The following is an 18,789-nucleotide window of genomic DNA, read 5'->3' on the forward strand; positions in this document are numbered from 1 at the left end:
CAAACAAACAAACAAACAAAACAAAGTGGGAATTCTAGGTTGAAAGGTAAGGCAGGCTTACTTATCTAAAAAACTGCCAAACTGTCATCCAGAGTGGCTATGTCGTATTGCAACCAATTGTCAATGTGTGAGGATTCCTGTGCCTGCCGATCCTCACCAGCCATTGATATTGTAAGAGTTTTGTTTAATTTTAGATATTCTAAAAATTATGTAGTGGCCTTTCAATGTAGTTTAAATTTAGATTTATTTATATTATTATTTGCCATTAATATGTCTTCTATGGTTAAGTGTCTGTTAAAAGTCTTGTGATGATTTTTTGTTCTTTTTTTTTCTTGTTGAGTTTTAAGATTTTTTTATACATTCTGGATATAAATTCTTTATCACATATATGATTTGCAAATATTTTCTCTCACTATATGGCTGTCTTCTTATTCTCTTAACAATGTGTTTCACAGAGCAAAAGTTTACATTTTAATTAAGTCCAATTTTTAATTTTTTTTTTACCATATATCCTGTTGATGTTGTATTTAAAACCAAAGGCAGGAGTGTTTGAATGTGACAAGGATACAGGGAACTTTGAAAGTGATAAAATTCTTCTGCATGATACTTGGGTGGTAGATACATGACTCTACGCATTTGTCAAGAGTCATCTAGTAAATTTGAAAACAGGTCATTTAAGAAAAATCAACCAGGACATCAGGGAATGTCAGAATGGAACGCAGACTGTGAAAAATGAATCAAACTATATTATAAATGTATAACAAACTTCACTGAAGGTGGTAAGGGAAAAATTGGAGCTGACTTGAGAAACATCAGAAAAATAACTGTTTTGACTGGTAACTGTAAAGTAAGCTAAAGACAAAAGAATTATAGAATTAAAGAATTAATCACTGTACCTTATTTGGAAAACTTGTTTTTTACAGAAATGGAGGTTAGAAATTTTGAAACCACTTTACAAATACACTAGGGTTTGACAAATAAGTAATAAAATATAAGTAATGGGTTACTCTAAAGAGTGACTTTGGAGTAGATAAACCTTGCAGATGCCACCTTGACCAAATTGATTCAGCATTTTTTCTGTCAGAGGAATAAGCCAGGAGGGATGGTGGGGATTGACTTTGAAGCTCATAGTTCTGGATTACATCTGGAGGTATTATGAATTTATTTAATTCAATAACAGATACAGACAGATACATAAATTATATGAGATGCAGGTTAGGATACATGCATGTATTGCCTAGCTGTGCACATGCATGGGATCTAGAAGCACTGTAATTCCAGTAACCATAAACACACTGCATGTGCCATGCCTCAGTTTCTAAATATTACTCTCTAATGAAATGAACCAGGATTTCCTGGAAAAATGGCTGATTCTCTACTTGAGACAGGGAAAATAGAGGATAAGCATAATGCATATTATAATGCTAGAAAGTAGAATACTGGCAAAAATAGAAGTTAAATAAAGATCAGGTTATATCAGAAGGACATGGGACCCAATCTGAAAGAACTCACAACAGCCAAAGTTTGTACAATTTGAGCAAAAATATGCGTAACATAGCGTGTGTGTGTATACATAGATATATATCCTATATAAGGTATATGTATATATCTATAGACACTATATTAAATATAAAATAAACATACATGAATATGAATTCATACTGGTATAAAAATGATTATGAATATAAATATATGGCACAGGGGGATCTTCCTTGCAGAGGAATTCAGAATAATATATGTTGATATACCTCCTTTCAAGAAGTGGAGCTTAATATCACTACTTTTGAGTGTAGGTTGGACTTAGAGACTCACTTTCAAAGAATAAAGTACATAAAGTGAGAAATAGTAACTTTATTTTTTATTTGTTTATTAATTTTTTTATTACTTTAACTTCTAGGGTACATGTGCACAACGTGCAGGTTTGTTACATATGTATACATATGCCATGTTGGTGTGCTGCACCCATTAACTCATCATTTACATTACATATATCTCCTAATGATTTCCCTCCCCCCAACCCAGAACAGGCCCCAGTGTGTGATGTTCCCCTTCCTGTGTCCAAGTGTTCTCATTGTTCAATTCCCACCTATGAGTGAGAACATGCGGTGTTTGGTTTTTTGTTCTTGTGATAGTTGGCTGAGAATGATGGTTTGCAGCTTCATCCATGTCCATACAAAGGACATGAACTCATCATTTTTATGGATGCATAGTATTCCATGGTCTATATGTGCCACATTTTCTTAATCCAGTCTATCATTGATGCACATTTGGGTTGGTTCCAATCTTTGCTATTGTGAATAGTGCTGCAATAAACATACGTGTGCATGTGCCTTGATAGCAGCATGATTTATAATCCTTTGGGTATATACCCAGTAATGGGATGGCTGGGTGAAATGGTATTTCTAGTTCTAGATCCCTGAGGAATCGCCACACCAACTTCCACAATGGTTGAATTAGTTTACAGTCCCACCAACAGTGTAAAAGCGTCCCTATTTCTCCACATCCTCTCCAGCACCTGTAGTTTCCTGACTCTTTATGATCACCATTCTAACTGGTGTGAGATGGTATCTCATTGGAGATTTGATTTCTCTGATGCCAGTGATGATGAGCATTTTTTCATGTGTCTGTTGGCTGCATAAATGTCTTCTTTTGAGAAGTGTCTGTTCATATCCTTCACCCACTTTTTGATGGGGTTGTTTGTTTTTTTCTCGTAAATTTGTTTGAGTTCTTTGTAGATTCTGGATATTAGCACTTTGCAAGATGAGTAGATTGCAAAAATTTTCTCCCATTCTGTAGGTTGCCTGTTCACCCTGATGGCAGTTTCTTTTGCTGTGCAGAAGCTCTTTAGTTTGATTAGATCCCATTTGTCAATTTTGGCTTTTGTTGCCATTGCTTTTGTTGTTTTAGACATGAAGTCCTTGCCCATGCCTATGTCCTGAATAGTATTGGCTAGGTTTTCTTCTAGGGTTTTTATGGTTTCAGGTCTAACATTTAAGTCTTCAATCCATCTTGAATTAATTTTTGTATAAGGTGTAAGGAAGGGATCCAGTTTCAGCTTTCTTCATATGGCTAGCCAGTTTTCCCAGCACCATTTGTTAAATAGGGAATCCTTTCCCCATTTCTTGTTTTTGTCAGGGTTGTCAAAGATCAGATGGTTGTAGATGTGTGGCATTATTTCTGAGGGCTCTGTTCTGTTCCATTGGTCTATATCTCTGTTTTGGTACCAGTACCATTGCTGTTTTGGTCACTGTAGCCTTGCAGTATAGTTTGAAGTCAGGTATCGTGATGCTTCCAGCTTTGTTCTTTTGGCTTAGGATTGTCTTGGCAATGCGGGTTCTTTTTTGGTTCCATATGAACTTTAAAGTAGTTTTTTTCCAATTCTGTGAAGAAAGTCATTGGTAGCTTGATGGGGATGGCATTGAATCTATAAATTACCTTGGGCAGTATGGCCATTTTCACGATATTGATTTTTCCTATCCATGACCATGGAATGTTCTTCCGTTTGTTTGTATCCTCTTTTTTTCATTAAGCAGTGGTTTGTAGTTCTCCTTGAAGAGGTCCTTCACATCCCTTGTAAGTTGGATTCCTAGGTATTTTATTCTCTTTGAAGCAATTGTGAAGGGGTGTTCACTCAGGATTTGGTTCTCTGTTTGTCTGTTATTGGTGTATAAGAATGCTTGTTATTTTTGCACATTGATTTTGTATCCTGAGACTTTGCTGAATTTGCTTATCAGCTTAAGGAGATTTTGGGCTGAGACGGTGGGGTTTTCTAAATATACAATCATGTCATCTGCAAACAGGGACAATTTGACTACCTCTTTTCCTAATTGAATACCCTTTATTTCTTTCTCCTTCCTGATTGCCCTGGCCAGAACTTCCAACACTATGTTGAATAGGAGTGGTGAGAGAGGGCATCCCTGTCTTGTGCCAGTTTTCAAAGGGAATGCTTCCAGTTTTTGCCCTTTCAGTATGATATTGGCTGTGGGTTTGTCATAAATAGCTCTTATTATTTTGAGATACGTCCCATTAATACCTAATTTATTGAGAGTTTTTAGCATGAAGGGTTGTTGAATTTTGTCAAAGGCCTTTTCTGCATCTGTTAAGATAATCATGTGGTTTTTGTCTTTGGTTCTGTTTATATGATGGATTACATTTATTGATTTGTGTATGTTGAACCAGCCTGTATGTTGAACCAGACTTGCATCCCAGGGATGAAGCCCACTTGATCATGGTGGATAACCTTTTTGATGTGCTGCTGGATTCGGTTTGTCAGTATTTTATTGAGGATTTTTGCATCGATGTTCATCAGGGATGTTGGTCTAAAATTCTCTTTTTTGTTGTGTCTCTGCCAGGCTTTGGTATCAGGATGATGCTGGCCTCATAAAATGAGTTAGGGAGGATTCCCTCTTTTTCTATTGATTGGGATAGTTTCAGAAGGAATGGTACCAGCTCCTCCTTGTTATCTCTGGTAGAATTCGGCTGTGAATCTGCCTGGTCCTGGACTTTTTATGGTTGGTAGACTATTAATTATTTCCTCAATTTCAGAGCCTGTTATTGGTCTATTCAGGGATTCAACTTCTTCCTGGCTTAGTCTTGGGATGGTGTATGTGTCCAGGAATTTATCCATTTCTTCTAGATTTTCTAGTTTATTTGTGTAGAGGTGTTTATAGTGTTCTCTGATGGTAGTTTGTATTTCTGTGGAATTGGTGGTGATATCCCCTTTATCATTTTTTATTGGGTTTATTTTATTCTTCTTTCATTTATTCTTTATTAGTCTTGCTAGTGGTCTATCAATTTTGTTGATCTTTTCAAAAAACCAGCTCCCGGTTTCACTGATTTTTTTAAAGGCTTTTTTGTGTCTCTATCTTCTTCAGTTCTCTGATCTTAGTCATTCCTTGCCTTCTGCTAGCTTTTGAATGTGTTTCCTCTTGCTTCTCTAGTTCTTTTAATTGTGATGTTAGGGTGTCAATTTTAGATCTTTCCTGCTTTCTCCTGTGGGCATTTAGTGCTGTAAATTTCCCTCTACATACTGGTTTAAATGTGTCCCAGAGATTCTGGTATGTTTTGTCTTTGTTCTCATTGGTTTCAAAGAACATCTTTATTTCTGCCTTCATTTCATTGTGTACCCAGTAGTCATTCATGAGCAGGTTGTTCAGTTTCCATGTAGTTGATTGGTTTTGAGTGAGTTTCTTAATCCTGAGTTCTAGTTTGATTGCACTGTGGTCTGAGGGAGAGCTTGTTGTAATTTCTGTTCTTTTACATTTGCTAAGGAGTGCTTTACTTCCAACTATGTTGTCAATTTTGGAATAAGTGCGATGCAGTGCTGAGAAGAATGTATATTCTGTTGATTTGGGGTGGAGAGTTCCATAGATATCTATTAGGTCAGCTTGGTGCCGAGCTGAGTTCAATTCCTGGATATCCTTGTTAACTTTCTGTCTCATTGATCTGTCTAATGTTGACAGTGGGGTGTTAAAGTCTCCCATTATTATTGTGTGGGAGTCTAAGTCTCTTTGTAGGTCTCTAAGGACTTGCTTTATGAAACTGGGTGCTCCTGTATTGGGTGCATATATATTTAAGATAACTCTTCTTGTCGAATTTCTCCCTTTACCATTATGTAATGGCCTTCTTTGTCTCTTTTGATCTTTGTTGGTTTAAAGTCTGTTTTATCAGAGACTGGGATTGCAAACCCCTGCCATTTTTTGTTTTCCATTTGCTTGGTAGATCTTCCTCCATCTCTTTATTTTGAGCCTATGTGTGTCTCTGCACATGAGATGGGTCTCCTGAATACAGCACACTGATGGGTCTTGACTCTTTATCCAATTTGCCAGTCTGTGTCTTTTAATTGTAGCATTTAGCCCATTTACATTTAAGGTTAATATTGTTATGTGTGAATTTGATCCTGTCATTATATGTTATCTGGTTATTTTGCTTGTTAATTGATGCAGTTTCTTCCTAGCATCAATGGTCTTTACAATTTGGAATGGTTTTGCAGTGGCTGGTACCGGTTGTTCCTTTCTATGTTTAGTGCTTCCTTCAGGAGCTCTTTTAGGGCAGGCCTGGTGGTGAGAAAATCTCTCAGCATTTGCTTGTCTGTAAAGGATTTTATTTCTCCTTCACTTATGAAACTTAATTTGACTGGATATGAAATTCTGGGTTGAAAATTATTTTCTTTAAGAATGTTGAATATTGGCCCCCACTCTCTTCTGGCTTGTAGTTTCTGCCGAGAGATCAGCTGTTAGTCTGATGGGTTTCCCTTTGTGAGTAACCAGACTTTTCTCTCTGGCTGCCCTTAACATTTTTTCCTCCATTTCAACTTTGGTGAATCTGCCAATTATGTGTCTTGGAGTTGCTCTTCTCGAGGAGTATCTTTGTGGTGTTCTCTGTATTTCCTGAATTTGAATGTTGGCCTGCCTTGCTAGGTTGGGGAAGTTCTCCTGGATAATATCATGAGGAGTGTTTTCCAACTTGGTTCTATTCTCCCCGTCACTTTCAGGTACACCAATCAGACGTAGATTTGGTCTTTTCACATAGTACCATATTTCTTGGAGGCCTTGTTCGTTTCTTTTTACTCTTTTTTCTCTAAACTTCTCTTCTCACTTCATTTTATTCATTCGATCTTCAATCACTGATACCCTTTCTTCCACTTGATCGAATTGGCTACTGAAGCTTGTGCATGCATCAAATAGTTCTTGTGCCACGGTTTTCAGCTCCATCAGGTCATTTAAGGACTTCTCTACACTGGTTATTCTAGTTAGCCATTTGTCTATTCTTTTTTCAAGGTTTTTAGCTTCTTTGCATTGGGTTCAAACTTCCTCCGTTAGCTCAGAGAAGTTTGATTGTCTGAAGTATTCTCTCAACTCGTCAGCATCATTCTCTCTCCAGTTTTGTTCCACTGCTGGCGAGGAGCTGTGTTCCTTTGGAGGGGGAGAGGTACTCTGATTTTTAGAATTTTCAGCTTTTCTGCTCTGTTTTTTCCCCATCTTTGTGGTTTTATTTACCTTTGGTCTTTGATGATGGTGATGTACAGATGGGGGTTTTGGTGCGGATGTCCTTTCTGTTTGTTAGTTTTCCTTCTACCAGTCAGGACCCTCAGCTGCAGGTCTGCTGGAGTTTGCTGGAGGTCCACTCCAGACCCTGTTTGCCTGGGTATCAGCAGCGGAGGCTGCAGAACAGCGAATATTGCTGAACAGCAAATGTTGCTGCCAGATCGTTCCTCTGGAAGCTTCGTCTCAGATGGGTACCCAGCTGTATGAGGTGTCAGTCTGCCCCCTACTGGGGGGTGCCTCCCAGTTAGGCTACTCGGGAGTCAGGGACCCACTTGAGGAGGCAGTCTGTCTGTTCTCAGATATCGAACTCCTGCTGGGAGAACCACTACTCTCTTTGAAGCTGTCAGACATGAACATTTAAGTCTGCAGAGGTTTTTGCTGCCTTTTGTTAGGCTATGCCCTGCCTCCAGAGGTGGAGTCTACAGAGGCATGCAGGCCTCCTTGAGCTGAGGTGGGCTCCACCCAGTTTGAGCTTCCAGGCTGCTTTATTTACCTACTCAAGCCTCAGCAATGGTGGGCACCCCTCCCCCAGCCTCGCTGCTGCCTTGCACTTTGATGTCAGACTGCTGTGCTACCAGTAGGGGCAGACTGACACCTCATACAGCCCGGTACCCCTCTGTGGGTGTGGGACCCCCCAAGCCAGGCATGGGATATAATCTCCTGGTGTGCCGTTTGCTAAGACCCTTGGAAAAGTGCAGTATTAGGGTGGGAGTGACCCAATTTTCCAGGTACTGTCTGTCACCGCTTCCCTTGGCTAGGAAAGGGAATTCCCTGACCCCTTGCACTTCCTGGGTAAGGCGATGCCTCACCCTGCTTCGGCTCACACTCGGTGGGCTACATCCACTGTCCTACCCCCACTGTCCAACGTGCCCCAGTGAGATGAACCGGGTACCTCAGTTGGAAGTGCAGAAATCACCTGTCTTAGTAACTTTAGAATAGAGAAACCCAGCAGACGCCACTGTAACCAAGAGGGCAAGGTATATGTTACCAGAAATAAGTCCTGTCGTTCCTCAAATAATGAAATAAGAAAGATGCTCATCTCTGTGATATTCTTCACAAAAATCTTTAAACCTAGTCTAACCATGGGGAAGCATTGAACTAACCAAAATTGCAACCATCTATAAATCACCTGGCCTATACTGATCACAACTATCAAGGTCATAGAAAACAAAACACCTGAACAAAATGCCATCGATTGGAAGTGACCAAGAAAACATGATGACTAAATGAAATGTGGCGTGTTGGATGAAATCTTGCAGTGAAAGAAGACATTAGTGGAAAAAAGGTAAAGTCTGAATATAAAGCCTATAGTTCAGTTCATGGCAATGTGGCAATGTTAACCTGTTAATGGTTATGTAATTTGTTACACTTAGAATAAAATGGGTGTAGGTTATAGAGTAATTCTGTGTACTATACTTACAACTTTTTTCTATGAAATTATTTCAAAGTAAAAATTCAATTGAAATAATTTTAAAATAGCTTGTGAAAGAATTAGATTTTTCTTTTACTTGAGATCAATTAATAGAGACCAAATTTGCCACCATGCTTGAAACAAAGTTGTAGTGCTGCTGCATTTGAAAGCTCAAAATAAAACTACCTTGATTACAGGCAGTATGGTCCTGTTGTAAAAATACACAGAGAGATCATAAGAAAAGGATAGAGAGTACAAAATTAGACCCAGGTTCACATGATCAGTTGGTTTTCATCTAAGTTGCAAAGGCAATTCATTAAGAAAAGGATTATCTAAAAACAACTGGTAGTAGAACAATTTGATATCCACAGTAAACAAAAATAATCTCAATCAACAATTCAAAAATTAGCTAAAAGTGTATTAGAGAACTAATGTAAAAGTTAAAACCACAACAGTTATAGAAAAAAAAATGGAAGAAAATATTTGTGACCTTTGGCTAGGCAAAAAATTTTAAGTTATGACACTACAGAATTAAATAAGAGATAAAATATTCTATAATGTTTAGAAATTCCCAAATATTTGTAAATTAAGCTATGCACAGGAAACCACAAAATAAATGAGAAATTATAGATAATTTAAAGATAATAAACATTTGTAAGATGAAGCTTAGAGGGAAATGTATAGCCTTAATTTTTTATATTAGAAAGAATAAAAGGTTTATGATAAAAACATCACCTTTCACTCTATAGGGCCATCTGAAGAAAGATTTAATGTAATTCAAGGTAAGTTGAAGAAAACAAATAATAAAGGTAACAGAAAACAAACATAAGATAGAAATAATAAAGACAAAAGTTGTTTGAAATGATGAATAAAACAAATACATCTCTAGTTAGAATTGTAAAAGAAAATAAACAGAAAAATCACAATTTGTCAGAGCAACACCATGAATACTACATATATAGAAGTGTAAAAAGGAAAAAAAATAAACACTATTCAGTAAAGAAAAAAAGGGCAAATGAAATGAAATGAAAACTTTTATTGAAAAATAGAATCTGCTAAGACTAATACAAAAAGAGGAAATCTGAATAGCCTTATTTTGTTTAAATAAATGAAATTGAGACTTAAGACTTCATCCTTTGCCCCTATACACAAAACACCCCCAGGTACAGTTGGCTTCATTAGTCAACTCTACTAAAACTCAGGAAACAATTATACAAAACTTACACAAACTCTTTCAAAAAATACAAGGAGAGGAAACATTCCCAATTTGTTGTACGAAATCAGTATGGCCCTGAATCCAGTATTGTCAAGTGCTATAGCAGAATGAAAATGTATTAAAATTACGGATCTATAACGCTTATGATCACGGATGCTAAAATCTTTTATGAAATATTGTCAGATCTCATTGAGCAATACATAAAAGGATAACACATGTTGGCCACATAGATTTAGTCTAGAAATCTAAGATTACTTCAAAATACAAAAATCAATATATGCACTGATCAATATATGGCTGATATATATAATGTGAATCTGTATGTATATATAGTTATATATGTATTACTGTATACAGTTTAATATATAACCTAAAATATAGGTTGGGATATGTGCATGTATTTCCTAGTTGTGCCCATGGACAAAATGTATCAAGAATAATAAAAATCATTGCTAAAAAGACAAATCAGCCCATTAAAAATGGGCAAGTGTTCTGATCAAGGACCCAGGCATGCCACTAAAGAAGATGTACAAATTGTGAATAAGTACATGAAAAGGCGCTGACATCATTATTAATCAAGTAAGTGGAAATTAAACCATCTTGGGCTACCACGTCACACCCACTAGAATAACTAAAAGGAGAAAGACTGGCAATACCAAGTGTTGTTAAGGATGTTGAGCAACTGAACTCACAAGCACTGTGTGAAATGTAAAATGGTACAGTGCTTCCATTTCCAAGAGGAATAAAATCAAGTGTTCATAGCAGTTTTTCATATCTAAATTGAAACTGCACAAAATTCTCATGATCAAATGAATAGATAAGCAAATGGTTTTATATTTATGCAATGATTGCTACTCAGCAATACAAAGAATGGAATACTGATAGATGCAAAAACAGAGCTGAATCTCAAACAAGGAAGACTAGACAAAAATAGATATCAATATCTATAGATGTATGGACACTTCCATATGTCTGAATATAGATATTTAGATGCATAGCTGTGGTAGTATTTCATTTGTTTGCTTTCTAGGTAAATTAATCTATGATGATGAAAATCAGAAGAGTGACTGTGCCTGAGTGCTATAGAAATGTTCTGTATCTTGATCAGAGGAGTAGTTACAAAGCTATATAGGTTTGCTAAAACTCATCAAACTGTGTCTTTCATATATGAGTATTTTATTTTGTTTAAATTGTCCCCCCAATAAACACTTATATTTAATGATTACTTGATAATTCTTTAAGGTAAATCTGATTATAAAAATACATATTAGTATACACAAAATACATATTATTCAACACACAATTAAAAACTTATTCTTCGCATAATTATTATTGTCTTATCAAAAAAGGAAGGTTAAATAGAGCAGCAAAAGCCTTTAAGAAAATTTTAAATTATGGAATTTCCCCGAGCTTGCAGATAAGGTATTATTGGATGACAAAATAAAATGTGATATTTAGGACTTTTCATTATAAATCATTAAAACGGAGGTAAAATTCAAGAATTCAGCCAAGGAAACAAAACAATGTGCAGCTTCTTGAGATTGCTACTGGTGCTTTGTTTACAGCACTGAGACCTTTCCTGTCTTGCACATTCATAGAAATGAAAATAAAGAAATCCATAGAATCGAGAATGTTATAAAAGTAGTTACCAAACCTAGATGGAAGTTAACTTTTTCAAAAATTTCTAAAGAAATGTTCATTGACAGATAAAAGCAATAAGTGGTTGTTAGTTTTGGATAAGTTAAATGTATATTTTCTTTTCCCAGGGCATTCCTGGCTTATGTCAACTGTCCTGGCAAATTGTAAATACCTCTTCCTATCACTCTCCCAAGTGACATTGTTTGGGTGGCAAATTCCATGATCATCTTAGTTTGGGAGACCTGGTCCATTTAGACATCAAGATAGGCACTTTTGGTTCATTTCTTCTACTAAGCAGTAAAGGGTTCTCTTCCCATTATCAGGTTCAGATTATGGTAGATCCATGATATCCAAAGCTTTCTTGATATTTTAATGTCACATGGCTGGAATTTTAGAAAATTCTTGAATTTATATGAAATCTATTCATCTTTCACATATGTAGTCTTATTTTTAGCCTGTCTCTTAGGAAATAAAAAACAATTGTACCCATGTGCAAAGTAGCTTCTTGGGTGGGTTCTCAAAACTTTTTAAGTATAGGAAGATGACCATCAGAGAGCACTGGGCAGAGTCCCCAGGGATTGACAATACTCAGTGAATGCTATGCCTATGATCATGGAGCACACACAGGACTTCTATTTAGAATAACAGGGTAATAGTATTAGCTTCAATTTAATAAAAACAATTTTAAATGCAAAATAGGAAGTCAAAGTTTGTTAATTTTCAACTATGCAATTATTGAATACCTACAGACATTTTCCTATTTTTCCACGTTGATTTATGTAGCTGGAGTTCATTGTTTTTTTCTGTTGTAATCAACCTTCCATTGCAGTAATACTGCATAATTTGTTTCTCTATTCCTTATTACATTAACATAACTTTTAATTGATTCAATTTTTTGCTATGATAAAGATGCTTTGGTGAACAGACATTCTGGTAGGCCTTGATGCACATGTGTAAGAGGATTTTTGTTTTTTAAGGGTATATATCTGGTGATAGAATCGCTGAGACCTTGGATATGGACACCTTTAACTTTAATAAATAATACTAGACTATTTTCCACAATTATTTTACAAATTTATGTTCTTACTAGAGTTTACAAACCAGTTGCTCCTCTTAGTCTCAAGCATTTATTGTCTGTGTTTGCTTCTAATTTGATGGTTGAATAACGTGTTGTGAACGGAATGTGCCTTTGCCTGATAACTAGTGGGCGTTGAGTGCTTTTTGATGACCGGCCGTTTGGGTTTTTTCTCTTCTAAAATGCTTGTTCCTGTCTTGGCTCCATGTTTATATTGGATTATTTGACTTTTTTCTTTATTGACTTTTAGAAGATTTTTGACTATTTTAAATATTCCTTTTTTTTCACTTGCAATTTGTTGCAGTTATGTTCTATGAGTTTGTTACTAAACTCTTTAGGTATGCTATAAACCAGTCTTATTTTCTGTCCACTTGAGGCAATACTTTCAAACATCTAGATTTTACGTTTCCTGGTTATACCAAATTTCTGCAGTATAAATTATCTTATTCCTATTATTTGCCTACTGTTGGCTTAGGACAGGTTTAGGCATTAGGCTTCTAAGCAAGTTACTCATCATCCATCTGGTTTTAAACTTCCAAAACATTGTTGTGTCCTCCGCTGTTCTTTGTAATTATTAATTTGTGTTTTTCTAGTCTCTTTACTATAATCTCAATGAGATTTTGGTCAAAGGAAAAAGCAAAATGTGAGTCTTTACTATTTTATCATGTTTATATAGAGAATATTTTCACTATTTGACATGTATATCAAAAAAGGAAATAAAATAGTAGTCATTGTTTTGCAGCTTCAATGAAACTAAAAGCCATACGTGTGTACTTGAGTATTTGACTCTCTCAGCAATTTTATTCAGTACCTGAGCCTAGTGTTTCTATGGAGTGTTCACAGGCATCCTCTCATTCTACCCTTATTCATTTGGTCCCATTGGTCTTACAGGTTCCATTATATATGACAAGGAATCACAGTTCAAAAACCTTAATTATCTTGTTCTGGAGTACCACCAGCAGCAGTTGAAGAAATTAAACCAAGTTCTTCAGAATCCACCTGCAGCTCCCTCTCCTACTGAAAAATATACCCAATTACCTAAGTTGGGCCCTTACCTGGTAGACTTAAACTGGGAGAAATTTTAATTCAGAACAATAAAACAGTAGCAAACTCTGCATGTTTGATATTTATGCAGGACAACATATTGAGTAATGTGTTTGTTGGTTTTTCTAATAAAAGGAGGACATGCTCTTGGGCATTGCACTTAATTTTCTATGCAGTTTGTGTCTCATCTTCTGAGAAAAATTTACTAATCTTTAGGGTTGGAAGAACTATTTCTAGATAATACTCACCTGGAGCCTTATGGAATTGAATTCAATTTCTGACACATAAACGTTGTTACAGCAAATTGACTTTCAATAATATCTGAAATTTTTGTGTTAAAGGGATGATATAAACAATATCTCTTCTAATGGTAACTGGTAACCTTTTGTTGACTTTTGAGATGAATTTGAAAGGGAAAATGCTATTGCTTTGAAACAGTTACCTCTTTCCAAGAAGAAAACCTCTCAGTTTTCTTAAAGGGTCATATGGATTGCTTAAGATTAGTCCTCATCACTTAGAAGCATGGACATTCTTTTGCTTTTCTGTGCTTTCATTTTATATCACAACTAGGATAGTTTCTAGGATTTACATTTCATTGTGAATGAAATGTAAATAAAATAACATAGTGTATTAGTAAATATCCCTGAATAACAAGGCATGTGATTTGTGATCTGAGTCATAATATATTTCTGAAATCTCCCTTAGAAATACTATGCATAGCTAATTATTGCCTTATAATGTATCCTATGGATTTTGAACCTGAAGTCATACTCATACTTGTATCAGCTTATTTGATACTCATAGGGATCTTGCAGAAGCACGGAATAGCTGTAGTACTTTTTTGGGAGCACAGAACTTGGGCATAGAACATAGACTGTAGAGAATATTTTTTGAAGGAGTTTTGAAAACAACTGGACACAAGCCTGGAAGAAGGATAGGAGTCTGAGAAGTGTGGGGAAAGGGGAGTTCAGGCAGACACAGCCACCAATGAGAGGGACCACTGCTGCAAAGAGAGGATTTCATATTTAGAGAATGGCAATGACTTTGGAATAGTAAAATAGAGAAGATGATATTTTAATGTCAAGACTTATAGATAGATCATTAAGGACAGTGAATATTATTCTAAATGATACTGATTGTGTCCTGAAGATGATGATGATCCATGAAAGAACTTATTGTTGAAGAATCACATGATCACATAAGTTGAAATTTTATGTTTCAAAAAGATGACTTCAGCAGCAGCGCATAGAACAAATCAGGGATTTTATATGGAACACTATATGATCAGTTTTTCATGATTATGGAAATCTAAGCAAGGAAAAGTAACAGGATAAGCTAAATGAGGTAGAAAGACTTAAGGAAAGTACACAGTTGGGAAATTATCTGGAGATTTTAGTAGAACTTGACCCATTGATTGTATAGGGCCAAAGTGAAGGAAGAAATCAAATACGAAGTTCAGTTTCATGGCTTGGGGCATAAGAGTTGTGATGACACTATTAATAGATTACATGGAAAGACAGGCATGTTTTCGTAGGGAAAGGCTAACTTTCAGTGTCCATGTGCTGATTCTAGGGACTTTCCAAGAGGACCTGATAGTGTGTGGTGCATGTGTTGTGTGTGGTGTATCTGTTGTGTGTTCTGTATGTGTATCTGGAGTTCAGAGAAATCTCTGGCCTAGAGATAGAATCAGTGATTGGCCCTTGAGTGCATGAGGTAAGTATAGATTTGAAAGCCCTTGTCTAGTGAGGGAAGCATTCCCACAAAAAAGGTATGGAAGAAACAGAAAAGAAAAAGAAAAAGAAAAAAAAAGTCACCCAATCAAAACATCCTGGATAGCAGCAATATTTAAGGGGCAAAAGGAAAGACCACAAATTAGGTTAAGAGATAATTGTCTTTAAAAAAACACAATTCATTCCCTATTTTGCATTAATAAAGCATATAATCTTAGACAAGCATTCAAAATCCTTCACAACCTGGCCGAAACTGCTTTTAGAAGAATGAAAGAGAGGGGAATGATATTTAGGGAAGGAGAAAGAGAAGAGGAAGGAGGAAGAGCAAGAGGGAGAAGAAATGCTGTGTGATTTGTGGTTGAATTGAATTGTACAGCGTCAGGGAAGGTGGAGAGCTTGACTTGACTGCCACTTGCTTGGCAGGACAAAATAAGGAATTGAGATAGAATTAGTCACCCTGGTTCTTGTCAGAGCAGCTCTGTGAATAACCTGAGAGCAGGAAAATAGTGTCACAAAGCCAATGGGAAGTGAGGCTGCCCAGAGTGAACCCTGCGGCCTGCTGGCTATAAGAAAGCACCGGCCGTGCGCGGTGGCTCATGCCTGTAATCCCAGCACTTTGGGAGGTCGAGGCGGGCGTATCACGAGGTCAGGAGATGGAGACCACCCTGGCTAACACGGTGAAACCCCGTCTCTACTAAAAATACAAAAAATTAGCCGGACGTGGAGGCGGGTGCCTGTAGTCCCGGCTACTTGGGAGGCTGAGGCAGGAGAACGGCATGAACCCGGGAGGTGGAGCTTGCAGTGAGCCGAGTTCACGCCACTGCACTCCAGCCTGGGCGACAGCAAGACTCTGTCTCAAAAAAAAAAAAAAAAAAGAAAAAAAAAGAAAGAAAACACCAGTCCCTAGCAGAACTTCATCCTCCATCATGCTTCCCTTCGTTAGCCCGCTGGATCTCCAGTTGAGGTGCTATCTAATCTAGGACATCAGGATAGGAAGGGGTATTTACGTCACATGTGTGAAGCTGAGTCCTCTGTCCTGATTGACATCAGCCTGGCCATTCCTCATGATTATGCAGTGACGTGTTCTGCTCCTGCCATCTGCTCCCACTGCTGTTCCTGGAGGTAAACATGCCCCGGCTATCCCAGCTTCAGAGCATGATCCTCTTACTGCCTCATGGGAGCCTGGACCCAGAAACTTTCTCGCATATTCTATAGCAAGGCACAGCCGAGATCACCATGAAATCCTTAGGAAGCCTTTCTAATGGCTCAGGGCAAACAGAAGGGGATGGCATCTGGTGCCATGTGGCTGCTTCCAGGATTCATGGTTCCAGTCTTTTCCCATAGAGTTGCTAACTACCTGCTTCCATAAGCAACTGGCTAGGTCCCAGTTCACTCTTCAGAAGAGAGGCCTCTCCCTTCACCCTCCAGGGAGGCCCTTTCTGGTCTCTCTGTAGATTCTATCAACTGGGAAGAAAGCAACTCTCCTCAACTCAGCCAGTTATTCCACCGCCCTTTAGTGAGACAGACTCGTTTCACCCACAGAAACTAAATCCCATATTCTCTAGTTTTAAATTTTGAAAACTGTCTTCTCAACCATAACCTATATAACCTATTGATTAGAAGACGACTTTTCTGTGTCGCTTTTACTGTTGCTTCCGAGTATTCCAAAATATAATTTTTCCAAAATTTATGTCTTCCAGTTATAATTCCAAGTTTTTTTTTTTTTAATAAACAAACTAAGTATTACAAATTTCTCTTCAGGAATTTTCTTCTTTTTTCTTTTTTTTTTTTTTTAGACGGAGTCTTGCTCTGGCGCCAGGTGGGAGTGCAGTGGCGAGATCTCGGGTCACTGCAACCTCCACCTCCTGGGTTCAAGTGATTCTCCTGCCACAGCCTCCCAAGTAGCTGGGACTATGGGACTACAGGCGCCCGCCACCACGCCCGGCCAATTTGTGTATTTTAATACACAACAGGATTTCGCCATGTTGGCCAGGATTGTCTCGATCTCCTGACCTCAGGGTCTGCCGCCTCCACCTCCCAAAGTGCTGGGATTACAGGCGTGAGCCACCACACTCGGCCCATGAATTTTTTTAGTAAAATTGATTTGCTTTTATAATAGAAGATTATTTAGACTGTAGTTTAAGATTCTAAATGGAACATGACAAGTTTAAGAATTCAAAAATCTTCATCAATATCACTTGTTGGATCCTACCTTTTCAAGATAATGACTACATCTTTACAATTGCTGCCTTTAGCACTGCAAATTATTGAACTGACAGACTGAAATCTATGGGTTTGATCTACCTCTTGTATTTGCTTTTTCCTCTTATCTCTCTTCCATTTTAATGTTCCCATTGATCTCAGAGACTTTGATAGAAAGACACAATTTCTTTTTTTTTTTTTTTTTTTTTTTTTGCTATCTATCATCATGGGCTTGCTGAATATGCTTAAACTATGGTCAGAAGTAAAAATGAACAGAAAGCTAATTTTTCACAATGCTTGTCTGAATTGGTCAAGGAGAATAGAACATTACTCTGCTGCTATTCAGATGCTTTGCCATGGCTGGTACAGCGTGATGCACAGTTACAAAGAACTTTGCGTATGAACATGTTCTGTTCCAGTATCAAATTCTGAAAGGGGACTGCTTTTTTCCAGAGAACTGGCAATTCTCCATTGACAAGCATGAACAGTGGATAACAAAGCAAACCTTGTTTACTGGTACTTATTCATTTAAAGCTCTATCAGGCAATCTGACTGAAATGATAGTTTTGTTCTGCAAAATCAAAAGATATTTAAAATTAGATAGGTTGTTAAGTAGATAATTTTTAGTGAACACATTTTAAATTACTAGGGGATATTTGGTTGCAACTCTTTTTGTGCATACAACATATTACATGTCATAATATAAATTTCACTTATTTATTTGTCCCTTGTTTTCTTTCCCTGCTACATTCACAGACCCTAGAAGAGCGCAAGGTCCCTAATATGCACTCAAATATGTAGTGAATGTGTAAATAGAAGTAACTCTTCAAAATATGCAACTCTTATGTTAACAGTTGGGAAACTCTTTGGAAAAAATATTATCTCCAACTATGAATTCTACTGTTAAATACTTATTATGCTCCTTGGCTTTATTAAATGGTATGGCTATACAACATCAGAAGATAAAGTTCATTCTTCTGAATATTACTCTAACATTTTGGTCAAAGAATGAGTCATCCCTTATTTATAGGTTTTTAAATTTGCTTTCAGCTTATTTTATGTATGTCATAAATTAAGACAATAGTGACTCTAACTCATAGAAACTATGCTTCCCCCTCCCCAGCAGGAAAAATAATCTTTCATCTCCCACACACACACACAAAAAATGTTGAATTAGGTGTCAGGTGTTTATACTATTTTGGATAGAACAGTGTTGAGTTCTGCTTTGATGAGCTTCACAGGCATAGCTTTGCTTACTGAAAAGAGAGCAATTAGCTTCATATTGCTCGATTTAATTAAGTGAGGTCAATTTAACTTAACATTTAGTCTCCATCCCCAGCCAGAGATTCCCATTCACCTTGCTCCAGCAAGTTGTCAGAGTGAGAAAAGATTAATTTTCTATATCACAGTGCAGTCAGTGACAGAGA

At 37.0% G+C, this 18,789-nt stretch overlaps 1 protein-coding gene across 21 annotated transcripts in view, besides 1 other annotated feature; it reads left to right on the plus strand.

The window, feature by feature from the left end:
- Window positions 1-18,789, plus strand: part of SNTG1 (syntrophin gamma 1) — an 886,897-nt gene that overhangs the window by 236,747 nt on the left and 631,361 nt on the right. The window contains exon 1 of one of the 21 annotated variants that reach the window (NM_001321778.2): window positions 17,589-17,878. The exons of the other annotated variants lie outside the window; for them this stretch is intronic. The gene's annotated coding sequence lies outside the window, so the exon portion shown is untranslated. Of the gene's footprint in view, window positions 1-17,588; window positions 17,879-18,789 lie in introns of those variants that run through there. 21 annotated transcript variants of the gene reach the window in all.
- Window positions 7,195-7,702: an enhancer, noted in NCBI's record as "OCT4-NANOG hESC enhancer chr8:51066297-51066804 (GRCh37/hg19 assembly coordinates)". NCBI's record gives its function as "activates a minimal SCP1, AML or CMV promoter by ChIP-STARR-seq in primed H9 embryonic stem cells {active_cell/tissue: H9 hESC(primed)}" and the evidence as "EXISTENCE:reporter gene assay evidence [ECO:0000049][PMID:30033119]".

This window comes from Homo sapiens, chromosome 8, assembly GCF_000001405.40.
Source record: "Homo sapiens chromosome 8, GRCh38.p14 Primary Assembly".
NCBI lineage: Eukaryota > Metazoa > Chordata > Mammalia > Primates > Hominidae > Homo > Homo sapiens.